General features: G+C 43.5%; 1 protein-coding gene across 4 annotated transcripts in view, besides 1 other annotated feature; it reads left to right on the plus strand.

The window, feature by feature from the left end:
• UBE2D2 (ubiquitin conjugating enzyme E2 D2) overlaps positions 1-13,050 on the plus strand; it is a 102,195-nt gene extending 89,145 nt beyond the window's left edge. For all 4 annotated transcript variants that reach the window (XM_047417691.1, NM_181838.2, NM_003339.3 and 1 more), the window contains 2 exons: positions 7,984-8,077; positions 11,372-13,050. In XM_047417691.1, the coding sequence (XP_047273647.1) occupies positions 7,984-8,077; positions 11,372-11,417 (140 nt within the window). In that variant the 3' untranslated portion in view covers positions 11,418-13,050. The remainder of the gene's footprint in view (positions 1-7,983; positions 8,078-11,371) is intronic.
• Positions 17,940-18,234: an enhancer, noted in NCBI's record as "tiled region #3558; K562 Activating DNase unmatched - State 25:Art". NCBI's record gives its function as "activates a minimal TATA promoter and a strong SV40 promoter by Sharpr-MPRA in K562 cells {active_cell/tissue: K562}" and the evidence as "EXISTENCE:reporter gene assay evidence [ECO:0000049][PMID:27701403]".

Genomic DNA, 19,691 nt, shown 5'->3' on the forward strand with positions numbered 1-19,691 from the left:
TGAGGCAGGAGAATGGTGTGAACCCGGGAGGCAGAGGTTTCAGTGAGCAGAGATTGTGCCACTGCACTCCAGCCTGGGCAACAGAGCGAGACTCTGTCTCAAAAAAAAAAAAGAAGATGGACACTGGTATGAATGTTTTTTTAGAGCATAAAGTAGAGCACAATTAACATCTCTTCCAACCTTGAGATTCATGAATGGAAAAAGATAGATACTATTGCAGAATAGGAAATAGACCAGCCCTTTAGACAAATGCCTATGCTGTAAACATAGACGTTAGGTTCTTGAAGAACAAAATATAGGTAAATATTTTACCAGCTCTTGTCTTTAGGTTTCTGTATCAATGAACTGAGTGATGTAGTTGTTGTCTTAATGTGTTGATTTGAAATTGTACAACCCTTCAACATTATTCCCAGATGAAATCACAGTTGCGTTACAATAATCTAGATTTTTTTTTTTTTTTTTTTTTTTTGAGATGGAGTCTCACTCTGTCGCCCAGGCTAGACTGCAGTGGTGCAATCTTGGCTCATTGAAACCTCCACCTCCCGGGTTCAAGCAATTCTCCTGCCTCAGCCTCCCTTGTAGCTGGGATTACAGGCACCCGCCACCACGCCTAGCTAATTTTTGTATTTTTAGTAGAGACTGGGTTTCGCCATGTTGGCCAGGCTGGTCTCGAACGCCTGACCTTATGATCCACCTGCCTCGGCCTCCCAAAGCGCTGGGATTACAGGCATGAGCCACCGTGCCCAGCCAAATAATCTAGAATTTATAAAGGAAAACAAAAACAAGTATTTATGGCCTGGCACGGTGGCTCACGCCTGTAATCCCAGCACTTTGGGAGGCCGAGGCAGGAGAATCGCTTGAACCCAGGAGGCGGAGGTTGCAGTGAGCTGAGATTGCGCCACTGCACTCCAGCCTGGCCAGCCTGGGGGACAGAGCGAGACTCCGTCTCAAAAACAAGAATATTTATCAGATCTCACTGCTGTACTCTGAAAGGTGATAAAAGAGTTCACTGGATGTACTTTTGTGAAAATGAAATCAGTTGTTTAAGAGAAAAATCAAATATGGTAATGGATTAATATGTTTAAAATATGAAGTACAAAAATCAGAAAAAAATTCAGATCCCAATAGATGAATGGACACAGGGGAACCAAAGAATAAATAAATGAATGTTACGTTCCTATTTTTTACCTTTTTAATTAACAAAGATATTTTTAAAAGAAGACAAAACACTAATGAGGTACATTGAAATGAACACTCATATTCTTCAAGTAGAGGTATAGATTTGTAGAGCCCAGTCTGCCAGTATGTGTTAAGAGACTTAATCATCCATGCCCATTCACCCAATAATTCTAGTTTCATTTATTTATACTAAGAAAACAATCCCAAATGCTGAAAAAACTTTGTATACAAGTACATTTGTGACATTGTGATTTAGTTCTGAAAATTGGAGGTTACTTACAGTAGAGGAAAAAATAGATCGGTTCCAGCACATGCATTTAAAAGAGTATTGACCCTGGCCAGGCATAGTGGTTCATGCCTGTAATCCCAGAACTTTATGAGGCTGAGATGGGCAGATGACTTGAGACCAGGAGTTCGAGACCAGCTTGGCCAACATGGCAAAACCCCATCTTTACTAAAAATACAAAAAATTAGCCAGGTGTGATGGTGCGTGCCTGTAGTCCCAACTACTCAGGAGGCTGAGGCGGGAGAATCACTTGAACCCGGGAGACGGAGGTTGCAGTGAGTCAAGATGGTACCATTGCACTCTAGCCTGGGTGACAGAGGGAGACTTTGTCTCCAAAAAAAAAAAAGTATTGATCTTTACAAATATTGTGAAAATAGGAAAATACTGTGCTTGAGAAAAGCAGAAAAAAGAAAAAAGGCATATACACTGTAACAAGAGTTACATATAAAAGTATGTTGAGTGTCCAGAAATAGACAAGCAATGTTAGTTTTGGTATTTGTGTGGTGAAATGTGGTGTGTGATTTTTTTTTTTTTTTTTTTTTTTGAGAGGGAGTTTCGCTCTTGTTGCCCAGGCTGGAGTGCAATGGTGTGATCTTGACTGACTGCAACCTCCGCCTCCCGGGTTCAAGCAATTCTCCTGCCTCAGCCTCCCAAGTAGCTGGGATTACAGGCACCCACCACCACGCCTGGCTAATTTTTGTATTTTTAGTAGAAATTATCTGCTTATAATTTACCATTTGAACCATTAAGTAGAAATTATCTGCTTATAATTTACCATTTGTTTAATGCATGTATTTAGACAGGAAGCAACATAGTTTCATGGTAAAGAACATAGATTCTAGATCCAATTGCCTGTGTTCAGATCTCAGATCCACCTCTTATTAAATGAGGCTAGAGACACATTGGCCCCTGTATTCCTCAGTTTTTTCATCTGTAGAAAAGGAACAATAATACATATTTCATTGTTGTTACGAAGATTAAAGAAGCAAAAACAGACAGTTAACTGGTTCCTTGTAAGTACTCCAAAAACTGGGGATAAAGGCACAGTTGTCAAAAGTGTTGGGTATTTGTCATGTTATCACTTGGATGTCAAGACTCAATCTTAAAAAAAAATTATTATTATTATTATTTGTTTTTTTTTGAGAAGGAGTTTCACTTTTGTTGCCCAGGCTGGAGTGCAGTGGCGCAATCTCGGCTCACCACAACCTCCACCTCCCGGGTTCAAGCCATTCTCCTGCCTCAGCCTTCTGAGCAGCTGGGATTATAGGGCATGTACCACCACGCCCAGATAATTTTGTATTTTTAGTAGAGACGGAGTTTCTCCATGTTGGTCAGGCTGGTCTCGAACTCCCAACCTCAGGTGATCCGCCCGCCTCAGCCTCCCAAAGTGCTGGGATTACAGGTGTGAGCCACTGCTCCTGGCCACAAATTAATTTTTTAAAGCAAACAAAACTCTGAGACATTAATTTAAAATTTTTGGAGTCCCAGGCAGAAATAAAAACAGGATGCCAGAGAACCACATTTTTTTAAAGTTATTACAACTTTAATGAAATAGTTTTTTAGAGAAGTGTCCCCTTTTCTTTTGGTAGGCCCCCTTACAATTCAAGAGCTACTTGAGAAAGTGTTTGTGGACCTGTGCCTGGCCTGGTGAGGGTCCCATTGGTTGCACTTCCTTCACCAAATAGCAATAGAGATGTAAATCTAGTAATGGGACCAAGATAAGTAGAATTGTGTGAGAGGTGTGTGTTTGGTGGGGTGAGGTGTTGGAGACACAAGATAGCTGAAATTATTGCCATACCTCTTTTTGTTCTTCCCCTTGCCTAGCGTTGATTTTTTTTCAGCTATTCCAAATGATAAGGACTGTTACAAGTCTGATTTGTTAGGTTCTCTCTATCTGGATAGCTATCCTTTAAAATAGTTGCAGTGCCATTTTGTTGAATTTGATTGTATTAACTGTCTCAGATTTAAGGTTTTAATGAGTCCCTTTTTGTAAATTGAATGTATGGGCAAGTAGTTCTATGAAATGCCTTAATCCTGTATATGATATTATTCCTTTAACATATAGTCTGTCTTCAAGGACAGAAATTTTGACCCAGTATTCACTCTACTTTGAAGGTCCGTGATGGGGACCTAAATATTTAAAAAACAAAAACAAAAACACTGAAAAAAACTGAAGGGAAGCAGATAAGTGTGCCATAAAGCCATTTGATTATATGTTTTTAGAAGTGAAAGTAACTGTTGCTGTAACACTAGTGAAAAAGTAATACTGGCCAGGCGCAGTGGCTCATGACTGTAATCCACTTTGAGAGGCCAAGGAAGGTGGATCACTTGAGGTCAGGAGTTTAAGAACAGCCTGGCCAACATAGTGAAACCTGATTTCTACCAATAATACAAAAATTAGCAGGGCAGGGTGGTGTGTGTCTATAGTCCCAACTACTCGGGAGGCTGAGGCACAAGAATCACTTGAACCTGGGAGGGAGAGGTTGCAGTGAGCCAACATCACACCACTGTGCTCCAGCCTGGGCAACAGAGCAAGAGTCTGTCTCAAAAAAAAAAAAAAAGTAATACTGATGAAGAATATATATAGGTAAAAGTTCAGTGAAGAGACTATACAGGTTATAGAAATAAGAGTTACTATCTTTACAGAAGAAGGTATAGTATATGTATCAGTCCATTCTTGCACTGCTATAAAGAAATACCTGAGACTGGATAATTTATAAAGAAAAGGGTTTTGCCAGGTGCGGTGGCTCACTCTTGTAATCCCAGCACTTTGGGAGGCCGAGATGCGCAGATCACTGAGGTCGGGAGTTTGAGACCAGCCTGACCAACATGGAGAAACCCCATCTCTACCAAAAATACAAAAATTAGCCTGGCTTGGTGGTGCATGCCTGTAATCCCAGCTACTTGGGAGGCTGAGGCGGGAGAATCGCTTGAACCCGGGAGGCGGAGGTTGCAGGAAGCTGGGATCGCGCCATTGCACTCCAGCCTGGGCAACAAGAGTGAAACTCCGTCTCAAAAAAAAAGGAGGTTTAATTGGCTCACAGTTCTGTGGGCTATACAGAAAGCATGGCAGCATCTGCTTCTGCGGAGTCCTCGGGAGCTTTTACTCATGGCAGAAGGCAAAGGGGGAGCCACCTGTCTCACATGGCAGTAGCAGGACCAAGAGAGAGATGGGGGAGGTGCCACACACTGTTAAACAGCCAGATCTCATGAGAACTCTATCACAAGAACAGCACCAAAGGGGTCGTGCTAAACCATTCATGAAGGATACACCCCCATAATCCAGTCGCCTCCCACCAGGCCCCACCTCCAACGTTGGGGATTACAGTTGAACATGAGATTTGTGTGGGGACACAGATCCAAACCATATCAGTATATTAGAAACCAAAATGAATTCTTCATGAAATCAAGAAGCTAAGTAGTGTACTAAAAATCTTTTCACAAGGTCCAGATAGCCAGTACTCTCCTTTCCTGGAAAGAAAGAAAAGCCCTTTCTTTAAAACCTGTCCTTTAAAGTTGACTTATTAGAATATTTAGAAGAATAAGTTAAAGGAACATTCAAAAATTTCTAACTTCCCTGTTGTCATTTCCAGGAAATACATGAAGTCTTTCCTAATTGATGTTAGAATGTTCTATGCTTGAAGAGGGCTTCAGGTGATGACACCTGACAATAGGAAAATGTTTTTGGAATGCCAGCTGCCAGAATTGTGGGTAACAGGAATGAAGAGTCAGAAAACATCTCTCCTGATTTTTTAAAAAAACTTTTCATATACTCTTAAGGCAAGGAAATAGCATTTTTGTTACCAAACTGAATAGGGCATGCCAACTATTTCTTTACTTCTCAGAAGCCCTTGATCTCTATAGGATAGATTTGGTAGGAATATGAGCGAATCCTTTCCCTGCTGAATTTATGTGTTGGGAGTAAAATGGGCTGAGAGTTATTATCTCTTGGTACAGAACACCTATTAGAGAAAAGAAAGATGGCTGAGCTCTATTAGCATTAGTATAGAAGGATTTAAATTTATTTTGTCAGAGGCTACTGAACTTAATGTAATCAGTGACTTTATGCCCCCTTTGCATTCAGTAAGGAATGCATAAGTTAATGATAGATATGGCCGGGTGTGGTAGTTCACGCCTGTAATCCCAGCACTTCGGGAGGCCGAGGCAGGTGGATCACTTGAGCCTAGGAGATCAAGACTAGCCTGGCCAACATGGCAAAACCCAACCTCTACAAAAAATACAAAGAAAATTAGCTACACATGGTGGCACTCACCTGTAGTCTTACCTGGAGAGTGAGGTGGGAGGATGACTTGAGCCCAGGAGGTTTAGGCTGCAATGAGCCAAGATCATGCCACTGCACTCCAGCCTGGGCGACAGAGTGAGACCCTGTCTCTAAATAAATACATACATAAATAAATAAATATTTTAAAACATAAGTTAATGACAGATTTGAACAAAGGAAATTACACTATTGAGATTTGTCTGCTACATCCCAGGTTGTCACCGAGGAAATGGCTTAGATGAGATTCTAAATTGTCACTGAAGAGAATTTGAGACATTCATAGAAGTATGTTGTATTCTCTGTAATGAGTGTATGACCATCCCCATTTAGGGGCAAGTGTTTGCATTTATGTTCTTGATTTAGACTGAATTGTTTTCAACTGAAAATTAAACAAAACAATTGTCTGAATGTGGTGCCTGCCACTGGAAAACAGTGATTGTTGGATTTTATGGTTGTCGTTTTTGCTAAGAATATTCAGTAGTGTGGCTGTCTTTTTTTTTTTTCTTTTTGAGGCAGGGTCTCACTCTGTCACCCAGATTGGAGTGCAGTGGTGTGAACACAGCTCAATACAGCCTTAACCTCTTGGGCGTAAGTGATCCTCCCACCTCAGCCTCCTGAGTAGCTGGGACCATAGGAGTGTGCCACCACATCCAGCTAATATTTTTATTTTTTGTAGAGACAGAATCTCACTCTGTTGCCTAGGCTGGTCTCAGACTCTTGGCCTGAAGCGATCCTTCTGCTGTGGCCTCCCAAAGTGCTGTGATTACAGGAGTGAGCCATCGCACTTGGAATTTTGAAAGCCATTTATCCTTGAATATGGGCTTCTAAAAAATTGAACTTTATGGGATCTGAAAAATGTTCTTGGTCTAGAATTTAGACAAAGTTCTAATTCTATTCTAATTACTAGCCAGGGACATTGAACACGTCACTGCACCTGTCTGGGCCAGCTCCCTTAGGAGTTCAGGCATAAAGACAGTCATATCAACTCTTCTTACATCATGGGATTGTTGTGAGACTTTGCACAAAGGGGCTTATATTTGTATCTGGGAGACCAAGATGTCATTTAACATTAATTTTCTGCTATTTGTTTTATTTTATTTTTTATTTTTTATTATAATTATTATTTTTTGGAGATGGATTTTTTGCTGTGTCGCCCAGGCTGGAGTGCAATGCTACGATCTCGGCTCACTGCAACCTCCACCTCCCAGGTTCAAGCGATTCTCCAGCCTCAGCCTCCTGAGTAGCTGGGACTACAGGCACACACCACCACGCCCAGCTAATTTTTGTATTTTTAGTAGAGATGGGGTTTTACCATGTTGGCCAGGATGGTCTCAATCTCTTGATCTCGTGATCCACCCCCCTCCGCCTCCCAAAGTGCTGGGATTACAGGCATGAGCCACTGCAGCCAGCCTTCATTTTTATTTTTTAATGACCTAACCTAAAGTCTGTTTAAGCTTCTTAAAATCCTTGTTGGTAGGCTGGGTGCAGTGGCTCACGCCTGTAATCCCAGCACTTTGGGAGGCCAAGGTGGGCGGATCACGAGGTCAGGAGATCGAGACCATCCTGGCTAACACGGTGAAACCCCCGTCTCTACTAAAAATACAAAAAATTAGCCGGGCGTGGTGGCGGGTGCCTGTAGTCCCAGCTACTCAGGAGGCTGAAGCAGGAGAATGGTGTGAACCTGAGAGGCGGAGCTTGCAGTGAGCCTAGACCGCGCCGCGCCACTGCACTCCAGTCTGGGCGACAGAGCCAGACTCCGTCTCAAAAAATAAAAAATAAAAAAAACTATTTGCCAGGTGTGGTGGCTCACGCTTGTAATCCCAGCACTTTGGGAGGCCGAGGCGGGTGAATCACGAGGTCAGGAGTTCCAGACCAGCCTGACCAACATGGCGAAACCCCATCTCTACTAAAAATACAAAAATTAGGCCAGGCATGGTGGTTCAAGCCTGTAATCCCAGGACTTTGGGAGGCCGAGGTGGGTGGATCACCTGAGGTCAGGAGTTCGAGACCAGCCTGGCCAACATGGTGAAACCCCAATTCTGCTAAAAAAAAAAGAAATAATAATAATAATAATAATCCTTGTTGGTTACTGTTAATATAAAGTTAAGTAAAACTTACAAAGCTGCTAGGCATTACAGTATAAATTCTTAGAATTTTCTCATGTTTTGGCGTCTCATGTTTCTCTCAACCCTTTGCTTTGATCCTCTGCTAATTTATATGATTTTTTTCATTCTAGTACTCTTGTCCATCTGTTCTCTGTTGTGTGATCCCAATCCAGATGATCCTTTAGTGCCTGAGATTGCTCGGATCTACAAAACAGATAGAGAAAAGTAAGTATGGCCTCAAGATGGAAAGTTATCTGTGGTGGGATGGAGATGTTTGTCACAAATCTTTCTTGTTTAAGGGCTGAATATCGGCCAGATATTTAAAGTGAAGTCCTAATATACTCTCCTGGGGCTAGAAAAGAGAAATATATGCATTGAGTATTATTATAAGTAGATGATGCCAGTCTTATCCCTGATTGTTTCACGTGACTCCTCTTGTCTACAAAAACTTTTTTTTTTGTTTGTTTTTTTTTGAGACAGGGTCTTACTCTGTCACCCAGGCTAGAGTGCAATGGTGCAGTCTTGGCTCACTGCAACCTCCGCCTCCTGGGTTCAAGTGATTCTCATGCCTCAGCCTCCCGAGTAGATGGGATTACAGGCGCAGGCCACCACGCCAGGTTCGTTTTTTTTGTAGTTTTAGTAGAGACTTTTACCATGTTGGCCAGGCTGGTTTCGAACTCCTGACCTCAAATGATCTGCCTGCCTAGGCCTCCCAAAGTGCTGGGATTACAGGTGTGAGCCACCACACCCATACAAAAACTTTCCTATGGTATATTTTTCAACAGCTTAATGCCTTATGCTTGGCTTTTGATATATAAAGCACTTTTCATCAAGTGCCCATTTGCCTGCCATAGGTATTTGTCAATTAATGGGAAAAGAGAATTGATTTCCTACCATTTGACATAATCTAAAGGAAGAAAGCAAATAAATGCCATTAGACGTGAAAGCCCCAAATTTCTTTTAAAAACAAAACTTGATGTAGAATTTGGGTATTTTAGAATTGTACTATGAATTATTGAACAGTGGTCAAGATATCAAAAGAGATAGTAGCTAAAAGTGTTCTAGTAGCATTTTTTCTTTTCTTTTTTTCTTTTGAGATGGAGTCTTGCTGTGTTGCCTGGGTTGGTCTCAAACTCCCTACCTCAGCCTCTGGAGTAGCTAGGATTATAAGCATGCCCACCATGCCCAGCACTAATAACATCTGTTTTATGTAGTATTCAGTGAAGTTATAAGAGGAACTAGATAGGAGAGGGTGGATAGTTCTTTTAGGGCCGGGCGCAGTGGCTCACGCCTGTAACCCCAGCACTTTGGGAGGCTGAGGTGGGCAGATCACAAGGTCAGGAGTTTGAGACCAGCCTGGCCAACGGGGTGAAACCCCGTCTCTACTAAAAATACAAAAATTAGCCGGGCATGGTGGCGGGCACCTGTAATCGCAGCTACTCGAGAGGCTGAGATAATTGCTTAAACTCAGGACGTTTAGGTTGCGGTGAGCTGAAATTGCACCACTGCACTTCAGCCTGGGCGACAGAGCAAGACTCACGTCTCCAACTTGAGTTCTAGTGGATTAGAGAGGCATAGATACGTTTTTGTTTTTAGTGGAGGTAACACTGGGAATGGGATATTCTAACAGTAGTTGGTTCTTGCTTTTTCCTATTTGTGAATTTATTGTCAAATTTTTTTGATTAGAGAACTGTTTTGTCCGATATTTAGAATTGTGGGTCTGAATGCTTACCAGAAGTCATTTCCCAAGTCATCATGGAGTAATGTTGAACACTGTTGAACAGAACTTTCCCAAACTGCACTGCCCCCACCCTCTAACCCCCCACTTTTTTTTTTGCAGAGACAGGGTCTTGTTCTTCAGCCCAGACTGGAGTACAGTGGCACAATCGTGGCTCACTGCAGTGTCAAACTCATGGGCTCAAGTGATCCTCCCACCCCAGCCTCCCCAGTAGCTGGGACTGCTAGTACATGCCACTACACCTTTCCAGCCTCCCCAGTAGCTGGGACTGCTAGTACATGCCACTACACCTGGCTAATTTGTTTTTTTTTTTTTTTTTTTGTAGAGACAGGATCTCACTATGTTGCACAGGCTGGTCTCTAATTCCTGGCCTCAAGCAGGCCTTCTGCCTCAGCCCCCCAAAGTGCTGCTGTTACAGGCATGAGTTACCGTGCAAGGCCAGCATACCCACCCCCACCCCCCCCCCTTTTTTTTTTTTTTTTTTTTTGAGGCAGGGTCTTGCTCTGTTGCCCGGACTGGAATGCAGTGGCACAATCACAGCTCACTGTAACCTCAACCTCCCAGGCTCAAGTAGTCCTCCCATCTGAGCTTCCCAAGTAGCTGGGACCACAGGCAGATGCCATCACATCCAGCTAATTTTTTTTTTTTTGAGACAGAGTCTTGCTCCGTTGCCCAGGTGGAATGCAGTGGCACAATCTTGGCTCACTGCAGCCTCTGCCTCCCAGGCTCAAGTGATTCCTGTGCCTCAGCCTCCTGAGTAGCTGGGATTACAGGCGCACATCACCATGCCTGGCTAATTTTTGTGTTTTCAGTAGAGACGGGATTTTGCCATGTTGGCCAGGCTGGTCTGGAACTCCTGACCTCAAGTGATCCAGCTGCTCCAGCCTCCCAAAGTGCTGGGATTACAGGCGTGAGCCACCACACCCGGCCTAGCACCCGTTTTTTAATAGGAGAATTATAGAATCATTTGCTCTGCTTACTTTATTCAAATGTTCTTCTGAAGCAATAAACCCATTCATTTTGTCAACCAAATTGTTGAAATTAGTTCTACCAGAACCAATTGTTTTATTGATATGAAAGGAAAGTTTGGTTTTTTTTCCCCCTTTTTTTTTGAGACAGAGCCTCACTCTGTCACCCAGGCTATGGTACAGTATTGCAATCTCAGCTCACTGCAACCTCTGCCTCCTGAGCTCAAACGATCTTCCCACCTCAGCCTCCTGAGTAGCTGGGACTATAGTCATGCGCCACCACACCCTGCTAATTTTTGTATTTTTTTGTAGAGACAGGGTTTTATCATGTTGCCCAGGCTGGTGTGAAACGCCTGGGCTCAAGTGATCCACCCGACTCAGCCTCCCAAAGTGCTGGGATTACAGGTGTGAGCCAACATGCCCAGCCTTCTGTCGGTTTAATCATTATTAGTATATGAGTTCAAGAACTATGTAATGTAGAATCATATAATTTCAAGTACTTTAAATGAATGAATTGAGTGGACATCTTTTGTAGAAATAGGCCAATCAAGTATGGAATAAGGTATATGCCAACAAATACTAAAATTTAATCAGAACCCTCTATAAGTAGCAATTAAAGGAGACTTTCACATTTTACAGCTCCTTCCCATTATCATTGAATTAATCCTTATCAGAAATTTGGGATAGAAAGGGGCCTTTCCTTGAATGTCCTATAAGCTACTCTCTTCAAGTTACTTGATGGGATAATGAATGGAATCTGTTGCTTACTGACTCCACACCTATGTTAAGCCAAGCTTCTCTTTGTGTGTACAGGTACAACAGAATAGCTCGGGAATGGACTCAGAAGTATGCGATGTAATTAAAGAAATTATTGGATAACCTCTACAAATAAAGATAGGGGAACTCTGAAAGAGAAAGTCCTTTTGATTTCCATTTGACTGCTTTCTATGAGCCCACGCCTCATCTTCCCCTGTGCACATGTTTACCTGATACAGCAGTGCTGCGTGTTGTACATACTTGGAACAACAAACTAGAAATACTGTACTTCTGTACCAACATTGCCTCCTAGCAGAGAAGTGTGTGTGTGACAAGCCAGTTCTACAGGCATTACCTAGGTGTGAGACTAAAAGCTTTTCTTATTGACTTAAATTTGGATAACAGCAAGGTGTGAGGGGGGTGGTGGGTATGGTGTGTGCTTGGATGGGAAAGAAAAGGCTCCACTCACCTATAGGAGATTATTTTTAAGTGGAATCCATTTAAACTCAAAACAGTTATGAAAAGCAAGGTGAAGAACATGAAGCTGTGTCTGTATTCATTTTATTCCGAAGGAGCTACGTCTTAGGTGAAAGTTATGACCAACCAGATTAAACTCTACCCACATCCTGCATTTTAAGGTCTAAGTTTAACTGGTCAACATTTAAATGGATTGGAGCTATTAGTACATCAAGTGTGATGGGCTTTGTTCCCAACTCTTTTACATCTCCCTACCCCTTCAACCTTTGGCCTTTCAGCCCTTCTTTCTCTCTTCCATATTCTTTGGTTTGTATGTGGTTTCTCAGTTAATACATAGCTAATAGCTCTTATTTTTCTTATGTTTTTAACCGCTTAGGTCTATTTGGATGTAAGGGTGAAAATTCATTTGATGGAAATACTTGTGTATATTTAAAGACCCAATTGCTCCTCTGGAGCTTGTACTTTCAAGAATGATTAATCTGTGTAATAAACTGGTTACTACAGTCATTACATATAATTTTGTGTGAATAGGCTTTTTCATTTTTAAGAAGTTTGTCTAGCTGAGATTAGTGGTGGATTTTCTCCCACTTCTGAAATGTTCATTTATACTGGTTGCATTTTAAGATCATGAAACAATTCCAGTTACATTGTAAAAAGGATATCTTACGAGTAATTTTATTGAACAAGTTAGAGGCATAAGCTTAAGAGCATTTCCATGAAACAACACATGCAGCATTCCAGGAACTTGATTGTTAAATTCAATAAGAAATTTGCTTTATTAATGAAACTAAGCTGCATTTCATCAAAACCTTGTGACATTCCCTTGGTACATAGGACATAAAACACAGAGGCATTGCTATTTGGTAAGTTAAGCTTCTGTGATTGTAATTATAAAAGAGCAACATTGACCAAACCTGGGAAACAAGAGCACAGTCTTGTTTGGAGAGTCTACATAATTACTTTGCACTAACATTTGCAGGATGTTCACACAATTTTAAATTGTACTGTATGTGGCTTTTTGAAGTCTTCCCTTGACCCTAGTAAAATATAGCTTGAAACTTGTAAACAACTGTGTTTGCCAGAAACATCATTCATGTGAACTAGGCAAGTTACCTTTTTTCCCCCCTTCTTTTCCTAATTGTAAACTAGGCCAACCTGAAAGCCATGGCTGATGCTCTAGCCATCAGGTTCTTTCAAATGCATCTTTACACTCTTGCACAAAAGTTAAGGAATAAATGTCCACTGCTTTTGGTTTTAAACTTGTTCACCTTGTCTTATCTCTCACTGTCACTGCTCCTCCACCTTGGAACTTGTGTGATAAAACCCAAAACCTCTTACAGTTCTCTTATAAGCATTTCAAGCATCTCTTATTAGCATCCTTGACTTTGCAGAAAAGGCTTAACTGTTAACAGTTGTGGGGAAAGGAGTTAGAATTTAGCTTAAGCCTAAAATCACCCTGTATTCTCAGTATTATGGGCAAGTGGGACTTCATCTTTTTTTTTTTTTTTTTTTTTTTTTAAGAGAGGGACAGGGTCTCATTCTCTTGCCTAAGCTGGAGTGCAGTCGGAGTCATGACAGCACAGCTCACTGCAGCCTCAACCTTCTAGGCTCGAACAATCCCCCTACCTCAACCTCCCAAGTTGCTGGGACTTATGGTACATGCCACCACACCTGGCTAATTTTTAAATTTTTTTTAGAGACAGGAGTCTCACTATGTTGCCCAAGCTGGTCCTGAACTCCTAGGCTCAAGTGATCCTCTTGTCTCAGCCTCCCAAAGTGCTGGGACTAGAGACAGCCACCATACCCAGCCTTCCATCAATTATTGGCTTGCTATTAACTACATACTGTTGACCGTGGGTCAGTTGCACAGATCCTGAAAGCTCATTCTGTATTTGCCTGTCATCTTAGAGAGCAGCCAGCTTATTACCATTTATTAGATCATAATATGGATATTTTCACAAGAGTGTTCTTAAGTATTTTTAAGTGCCAAATGAAAGCCATCCTCCAGGTGTGCAGGTGCCAATTGAAGGGGTTTGGATGGTCACAAACAACATTAGGCCCTTGAATGGGGTTTGGTCTTGCCCATTTGAGTATGAAGCTTCTTTGGTCCAGTCTGTGTATATGTGCCTGGCCAGAAAGAAAGCCCAGTGAGAGAAGCCACCTTTCCCACTCACCAAAAACAACAACAACAACAAAAAATCCCTCAGGGTTGTTTTCATCTGGACCACATTGCTCTTCACAGAAGTTTCTATGACTTTGTCGTATGTAAAATCCAGTCTGTAGCAACCTTGATTATCTTGGAAAAGTTACAGGAGAACGTCAAGTGTATGGTTTCCTTTTGTTTGCTTCTTAATAGCCCAAAGTACTTTGTCAAGTTAAAGCTGGGGCAGTGTCTTTTGGTAAAATGAAGTCACTTCAGATACTTATATGCTTTGCTATTGGCGAATCAGTAGTCAAAGGTATCATTGTCCTGCGAGTTTATGCACTTTGAGTAGTACAGAGACTTGGAAGGAGGGCGGTAGGGGTGGGGAGAGAGAAGTTAGGAAGGTCTGTGAAGAGAAGGAAAAGGTAGTTGTCAGAGAGAGACCCTTTCTCTACACTAACCTAGCAATAGAGGCCTTCTTTTTCCACTTCCAACTGCTAAAATACTCTGCTTTCTGAATCATTCCTCTTTGTTTCAACAAGTTATTTTGAGACCTGGGTAGCTTGTCAGGAGAAATGGATTATTTCTAAATTATGGCTGGAATGCCTATAAACTGTCCCTTGTCTGTAATTAAGGTGAAACTCTGGCTTTGTCTCTGTGTGCTGTATGGCACCCCTTAACTACCCAGGGTAAGTTTTGAAGAGGAGAACTCTCAGCTGGGCCCTGTGGCTCATGCCTGTAATCCCAGCATTTTGGGATGCCAAGGTGGGCGGATCACCTGAGGTCAGGAGTTCAAGACCAGCCTGACCAACATGGAGGAACCTCGTGTCTACTAAAAACACAAAATTAGCCGGGCATGGTGGCACATGTCTGTAATCCCAGCTACTCAGGAGGCTGAGGCAGGAGAATCGCTTGAATCCGGGAGGCGGAGGTTGTGGTGAGCCGAGATCGCGCCATTGCACTCCAGCCTGGGCGACAAGAGCAAAACTCAGTCTTAAAAAAAAAACAAAAAAAACTCTCTTCTCATTCCCAGGTCTTCAGGATTATAAACACATCTTTCCTTCCTTCCAAATCAGGAGTAAGCATTTTTATTACTCCTACAGAAAACTGTAACTAGTGTTAGGAATCCATCTCCTTTTGATTTCCTCATTTTCCCTTTATGAAACACTATTTCAAGTGATGGGTTATTTTGGTGAGTGATGTTAGGCAGGAGAAAGCAGGTTTGTTTTTTGTTGTTGTTGTTTGGAGACAGAGTCTCACTGTCGCCCAGGTTGGAGTGTAGTGGTGCGATCTTGGCTCACTGCAACCTCCACCTCCCAAGTTTAAGTGATTTTCCTGCCTCAGCCTCCTGAGTAGCTGAGATTATAGGCACATGCCACCCACGCCTGGCTAATTTTTGTATTTTTAGTAGAGACGGTTTCACCATGTTGTCCAGGCTGGTCTTGAACTCCTGACTTCAGGTGATCTGCCCACCTTGGCCTCCCAAAGTGCTGGGATTACAGGCATGAGCCACCACACCCAGCCAAGAAAGCAGATTTTTAATATGAAAATAACTGAAGGTAGCAAACTATTTGCACTATACATCCAGCAAGAGGAAATAGACTTCCTTTGGGGCACTCCTGGAGCTAGTCCCTTCTATTTTCCTTTTCTTCCCTTCCTTTCCCTTTCTTTCTCTTCCTTTCCCTCCCTTCCCCTGCCCTTTGCCTGCCTGCCTGCCTGCCTCCCTCCCTCCTTCCCCACTTTCCTTTTTCTTTCTTTACTTTCCTTCTTTCTCTTTTTCTTTCTCTCTTTTCTCTTTTTTTGTGTGTGGTTTTTTTTTTTTTTTTTTTTTTTTTTTTGAGAGAGGGTCTCACTTTTTTGCCCAGGCTAGAATGCAGTGGTGCAAACATGGCTCACTGCAGCCTCACACTCCTGAGCTCAAGCAGTCCACCCACCTCGGCCTCCCAAAGTGCTGGGATTACAGGCATGAGCCACCTCGCCCAGCCTATTTTCTTTTATATTGTGCATGCACTTAGATGAAAACTGGCTTTCTCCATCCCACAAAAACCTTCTTTAAGTGTTTCCCTGGCACTATAACCTTTTTTAATCAGGACTGGTATAAGTGGTTGATATTCAGGCCCCTCAGTATATTTCCAGACCAATTTCTCAGATGGGCTTAGAAATAGGGAAATGAGACGGGATCACATTGTCAGGGTTACTATTCATGAAGCAATTCCTTCATTGCTGGCATATTTTACCTTAGTCAATGTAAGGAGAAAAGCTCAATGGTTAGGACTAAGTAAGCCTTTAAGGCCTTTGTCCTCTGGCTGAATGTATAATACAATCACCAACCAGCTTTGCTCTTTCTATGTCTACTCCTGGTCTGGGTAAGGCAAAGGCAGACATTTTTGTGATGAGCAGTCACTTTTCATTAAATTAAACTATTTGTGGATCTTTATCTGATCAGAGACACAGCGTAATCTGCCTCTTAGCAGATGTAAAACTATATGAATACCTTAGTGCCAAGACAGCAGCTTAATAGTTTTCCTTGATTGAGTGGTGGTTTGTGTGTTTGTTCTTAACGTCCTGTGTAAGTTGTTATTGGTAGAATGGTTTTTTCCAGAGCTGAGGAGCCTGATTGCCCAACATTGTACTCTGAAAGCAAATGGTTGATCCCATTTGGAAAAGCCAAGAAGAGGCCATTGAGTGTCCAGCCCAGGCCTCCTGTGACTGCTGTACAGGAAAGAGCAGCAGCAGCCTTGGTGAATGTACCATGTTCCTTTCCCAACTTCTAAGGATGCGAGGAGTGACAACTGCCATTTTCCCAGGCACACCTCTCCCTGCCCTGAGCCACTTGTTCTCAATTCTGTTTAAACTTCCTTTTTGGTACTTAAAAATCTTAAATCTTAAAAAGATGTCACCCTTCCCTAAACTTTAGAGCCTCTGGAAAATGTGAGTGGGGAGGGTTTGGTTTTTTGAGTTAAAACCTAGTCTTCAAATTGCCAGCTTTCCTTGGGTTTAAAGTTCTCCATAGAAAATGAGATTGCTTTAGAAGCTCCAAAGCTCCTGGGCCCTCTGACTTGGAGGTTTCTAGAAACAACCCACAAATACAATCTGACATTTGGGACGCAGAGCCAGCACCATCTTGGGTAAGAGAAGTGTTCCATGTTTGAGGTAGTTGGCAAATGCTAAGCTACCTATGTGGTGACAGTTGTCTGGAGCTTTTCCCATCTGATTAAGGGGCAATACTGATTTGGTCGTTGTGGGCAGTTTCTCCTCCTAGCCAGCATCACTGCCATCTTGGAAGGTGTGGCTACCTGTCATGTGTTGCACAGAGAGTCGAGGGGAGCTGGCCTCGTTTGAGAGGGCACCTGAGACTTTCAGTCACCTGCTGCAGAGTGACAGAAGGAACAAGGGAAACCAAGGCTTTCCCAAACTTGCCAGAGAAGGTGAGCTTTTTGGAAGGATGGTTCCAAGTGACCTCAGCTTAGTCCTCCTTTGGAGGAAACAAGGCAAGTTGGGGAGGCTCTGGTGCATAACAAGTTATAGGGCAGGTACTGTTTCCTGGATTCAACCTCCAAGCTTCATAAAAAGGCAGTTCCAGCCAGGCGTGGTGGCTCACGCCTGTAATCCCAGCACTTTGGGAGGCCGAGGTAGGTGGATCACCTGAGGTCAGGAGTTCAAGACCAGCCTGAGCAACATGGAGAAACCCCGTCTCTACTAAAAATACAAAATTAGCCAGGCGTGGTGGTGCATGCCTGTAATCCCAGATACTTGGGAGGCTGAGGCAGGAAAATCTCTTGAACCGGGGATGTGGAGGTTGCAGTGAACCGAGATCCGAGATCGCGCCATTGCATCCAGCCTGGGCAACAAGAGAGAAACTCTGACTCAAAAAAAAAAAAAAAGGGCGGGGGGCACTTCCTTTTGAAGTTTCAGATGTATATTGGAGGGAGCAGAATTCCTTTGTGATTTCTTCCTTAATACATTGTGTCCCTGAGGTGGTCCCTGTTCTTCCTGTCTCCTGTCAGCCCCCTGGCTCAGAGGACGGCTGAATGGAGTTGCATTTCAGTGCCCACAGATGGAGGTGATGACTGAAGTGTGTTTGCTTATGTGGGGAGTGAGATGATGGCTTTGGTGTCTGAGTGGATGCTAGTGCCTTGAGTGGCCAGCAGAGGGCAGTGGTGACCCATAGCTGTGACAACCGTGAGGCGTGTGGTCAGTGAATCTGCATGGGCACAACCTGAGAGGGGCTTTTGTTGGAGTGGGGAGATTCTTTCGGACTTAAGCTTTGTGCGTGGTATATCCAGAATCAGATGGGCCAGTGCCAAGTTCAGTCAGGTTCTCAGCCTTACAGTGAAGGAAAAGGTTAGTGACTTGTATTTCAGCCCAAAGCCTACTGGAAGTGTCAAGCTGCCAGCTCCCCTCTGCCCTCCCCGTTGCTATGGCAGCCATGTCTCTGTGTGTGAATAGGTGAACCAGGCTCCAGGTTAGGACCTCTGCCCACCTAGCTCCAGGTTACATGCAGGAAAAGATCTGTCTATTGCTGCATGTGAACAAGGAGATCCCATATTTCTAGCAGGTCACAGAGGCAGCAGTCCATTATCACTTGCCTGCCCACCTACCCTGGGCAACCAGCACATGGCTCCTTAGACCTTGAAGATGGAGGCCTGGGGACAGAAGGAGCAGAGTTGGGGGCTAGTGATAGGGCCTGGGAAATGTTCTTGTCTGTTTCAAGTTTATCTTGTATTTTGGGGCCCTGGTCTCCTCAGTCTTCCAGCCCAACAGGTGTGAGCGTCCAGGGCCACCACCCGGAAGCCAGCTGCCTCTTCATGGGGAAATCTTTGAAATTCAAGGCTTGGCCATCTGGATATGCAAATGTTCCAGATTTGCTGAGCCCACCAAGTGGCTGAGCCCCCCATGCCTGGGGCCTGTCAGCCACATTCTCCATGGCTCCCTCCTTCTAACAGGGACAGGGGCAGGCAGGGAATCTAAATTCCCAGGTCAAGGAGTTTATTTGGGAGCCCCAGGCAGGGCTGTGAGAATTAGCTACCACTGCCCCTAGATGGGGAAAGCTGCCTGGGTGCTGTTGGTACCTAGAACCTAAGCTTTTGCCTACTGATAGACTCTAAGGAGAACGGTGTATTGAGAGCTCCACGAGTCCTGCTGTAGTGCCTAATCATGTGAGGGATTTTGCTGGATCCAAAGGAATCTCAACTAAGAAAGTTTCTGGAATAAGGAGGGAAGCCTTGGGTCTAGCCTCGCTAGAGGGTGGGAGCTACCTGCAGGGAAAGCTGCTGACTTCCTATTATGTCAAACCCAGGCAAATAACTGGAGCTTAGGCAGTTGGCCCCCAGAATTGCTTATTCTCCCCCAGGCCTCCCTCTGGGGCTGGTTTTCTGGCTGTAGCAGGAGGTATGTGTTCTCTGAGTGGGAAAGGAGTGGGGTCAGGGTCAGGGCGGAAACCCGGGAATTTAGATTCCCTGCCTGTCCCTGTCCCTGTTAGAAGGAGGGAGCCATGGAGAATGTGGCTGACAGGCCCCAGGCATGGGAGAGCTTAGGCCAGCCTGTATGTGTGTGTGCAGAAGGGGACTGCACATGTGTTCAGGAGCTTGAGAGTGAGAATTGTGAGCATGTACACTCCTTAGTGTTTATGCATCAGGGTGTGATGCATAAACACGAAGGCTCTGTAGCCTTTGAAGAACAGGATCAGATCTGGGTTTGAATCACAAGACCATGGGTTTTCAGTTGGGCAATAAACTTATCTGTCTTTTGCTTTGA

Source organism: Homo sapiens, chromosome 5 (genome assembly GCF_000001405.40).
Source record: "Homo sapiens chromosome 5, GRCh38.p14 Primary Assembly".
NCBI classification, from domain to species: domain Eukaryota; kingdom Metazoa; phylum Chordata; class Mammalia; order Primates; family Hominidae; genus Homo; species Homo sapiens.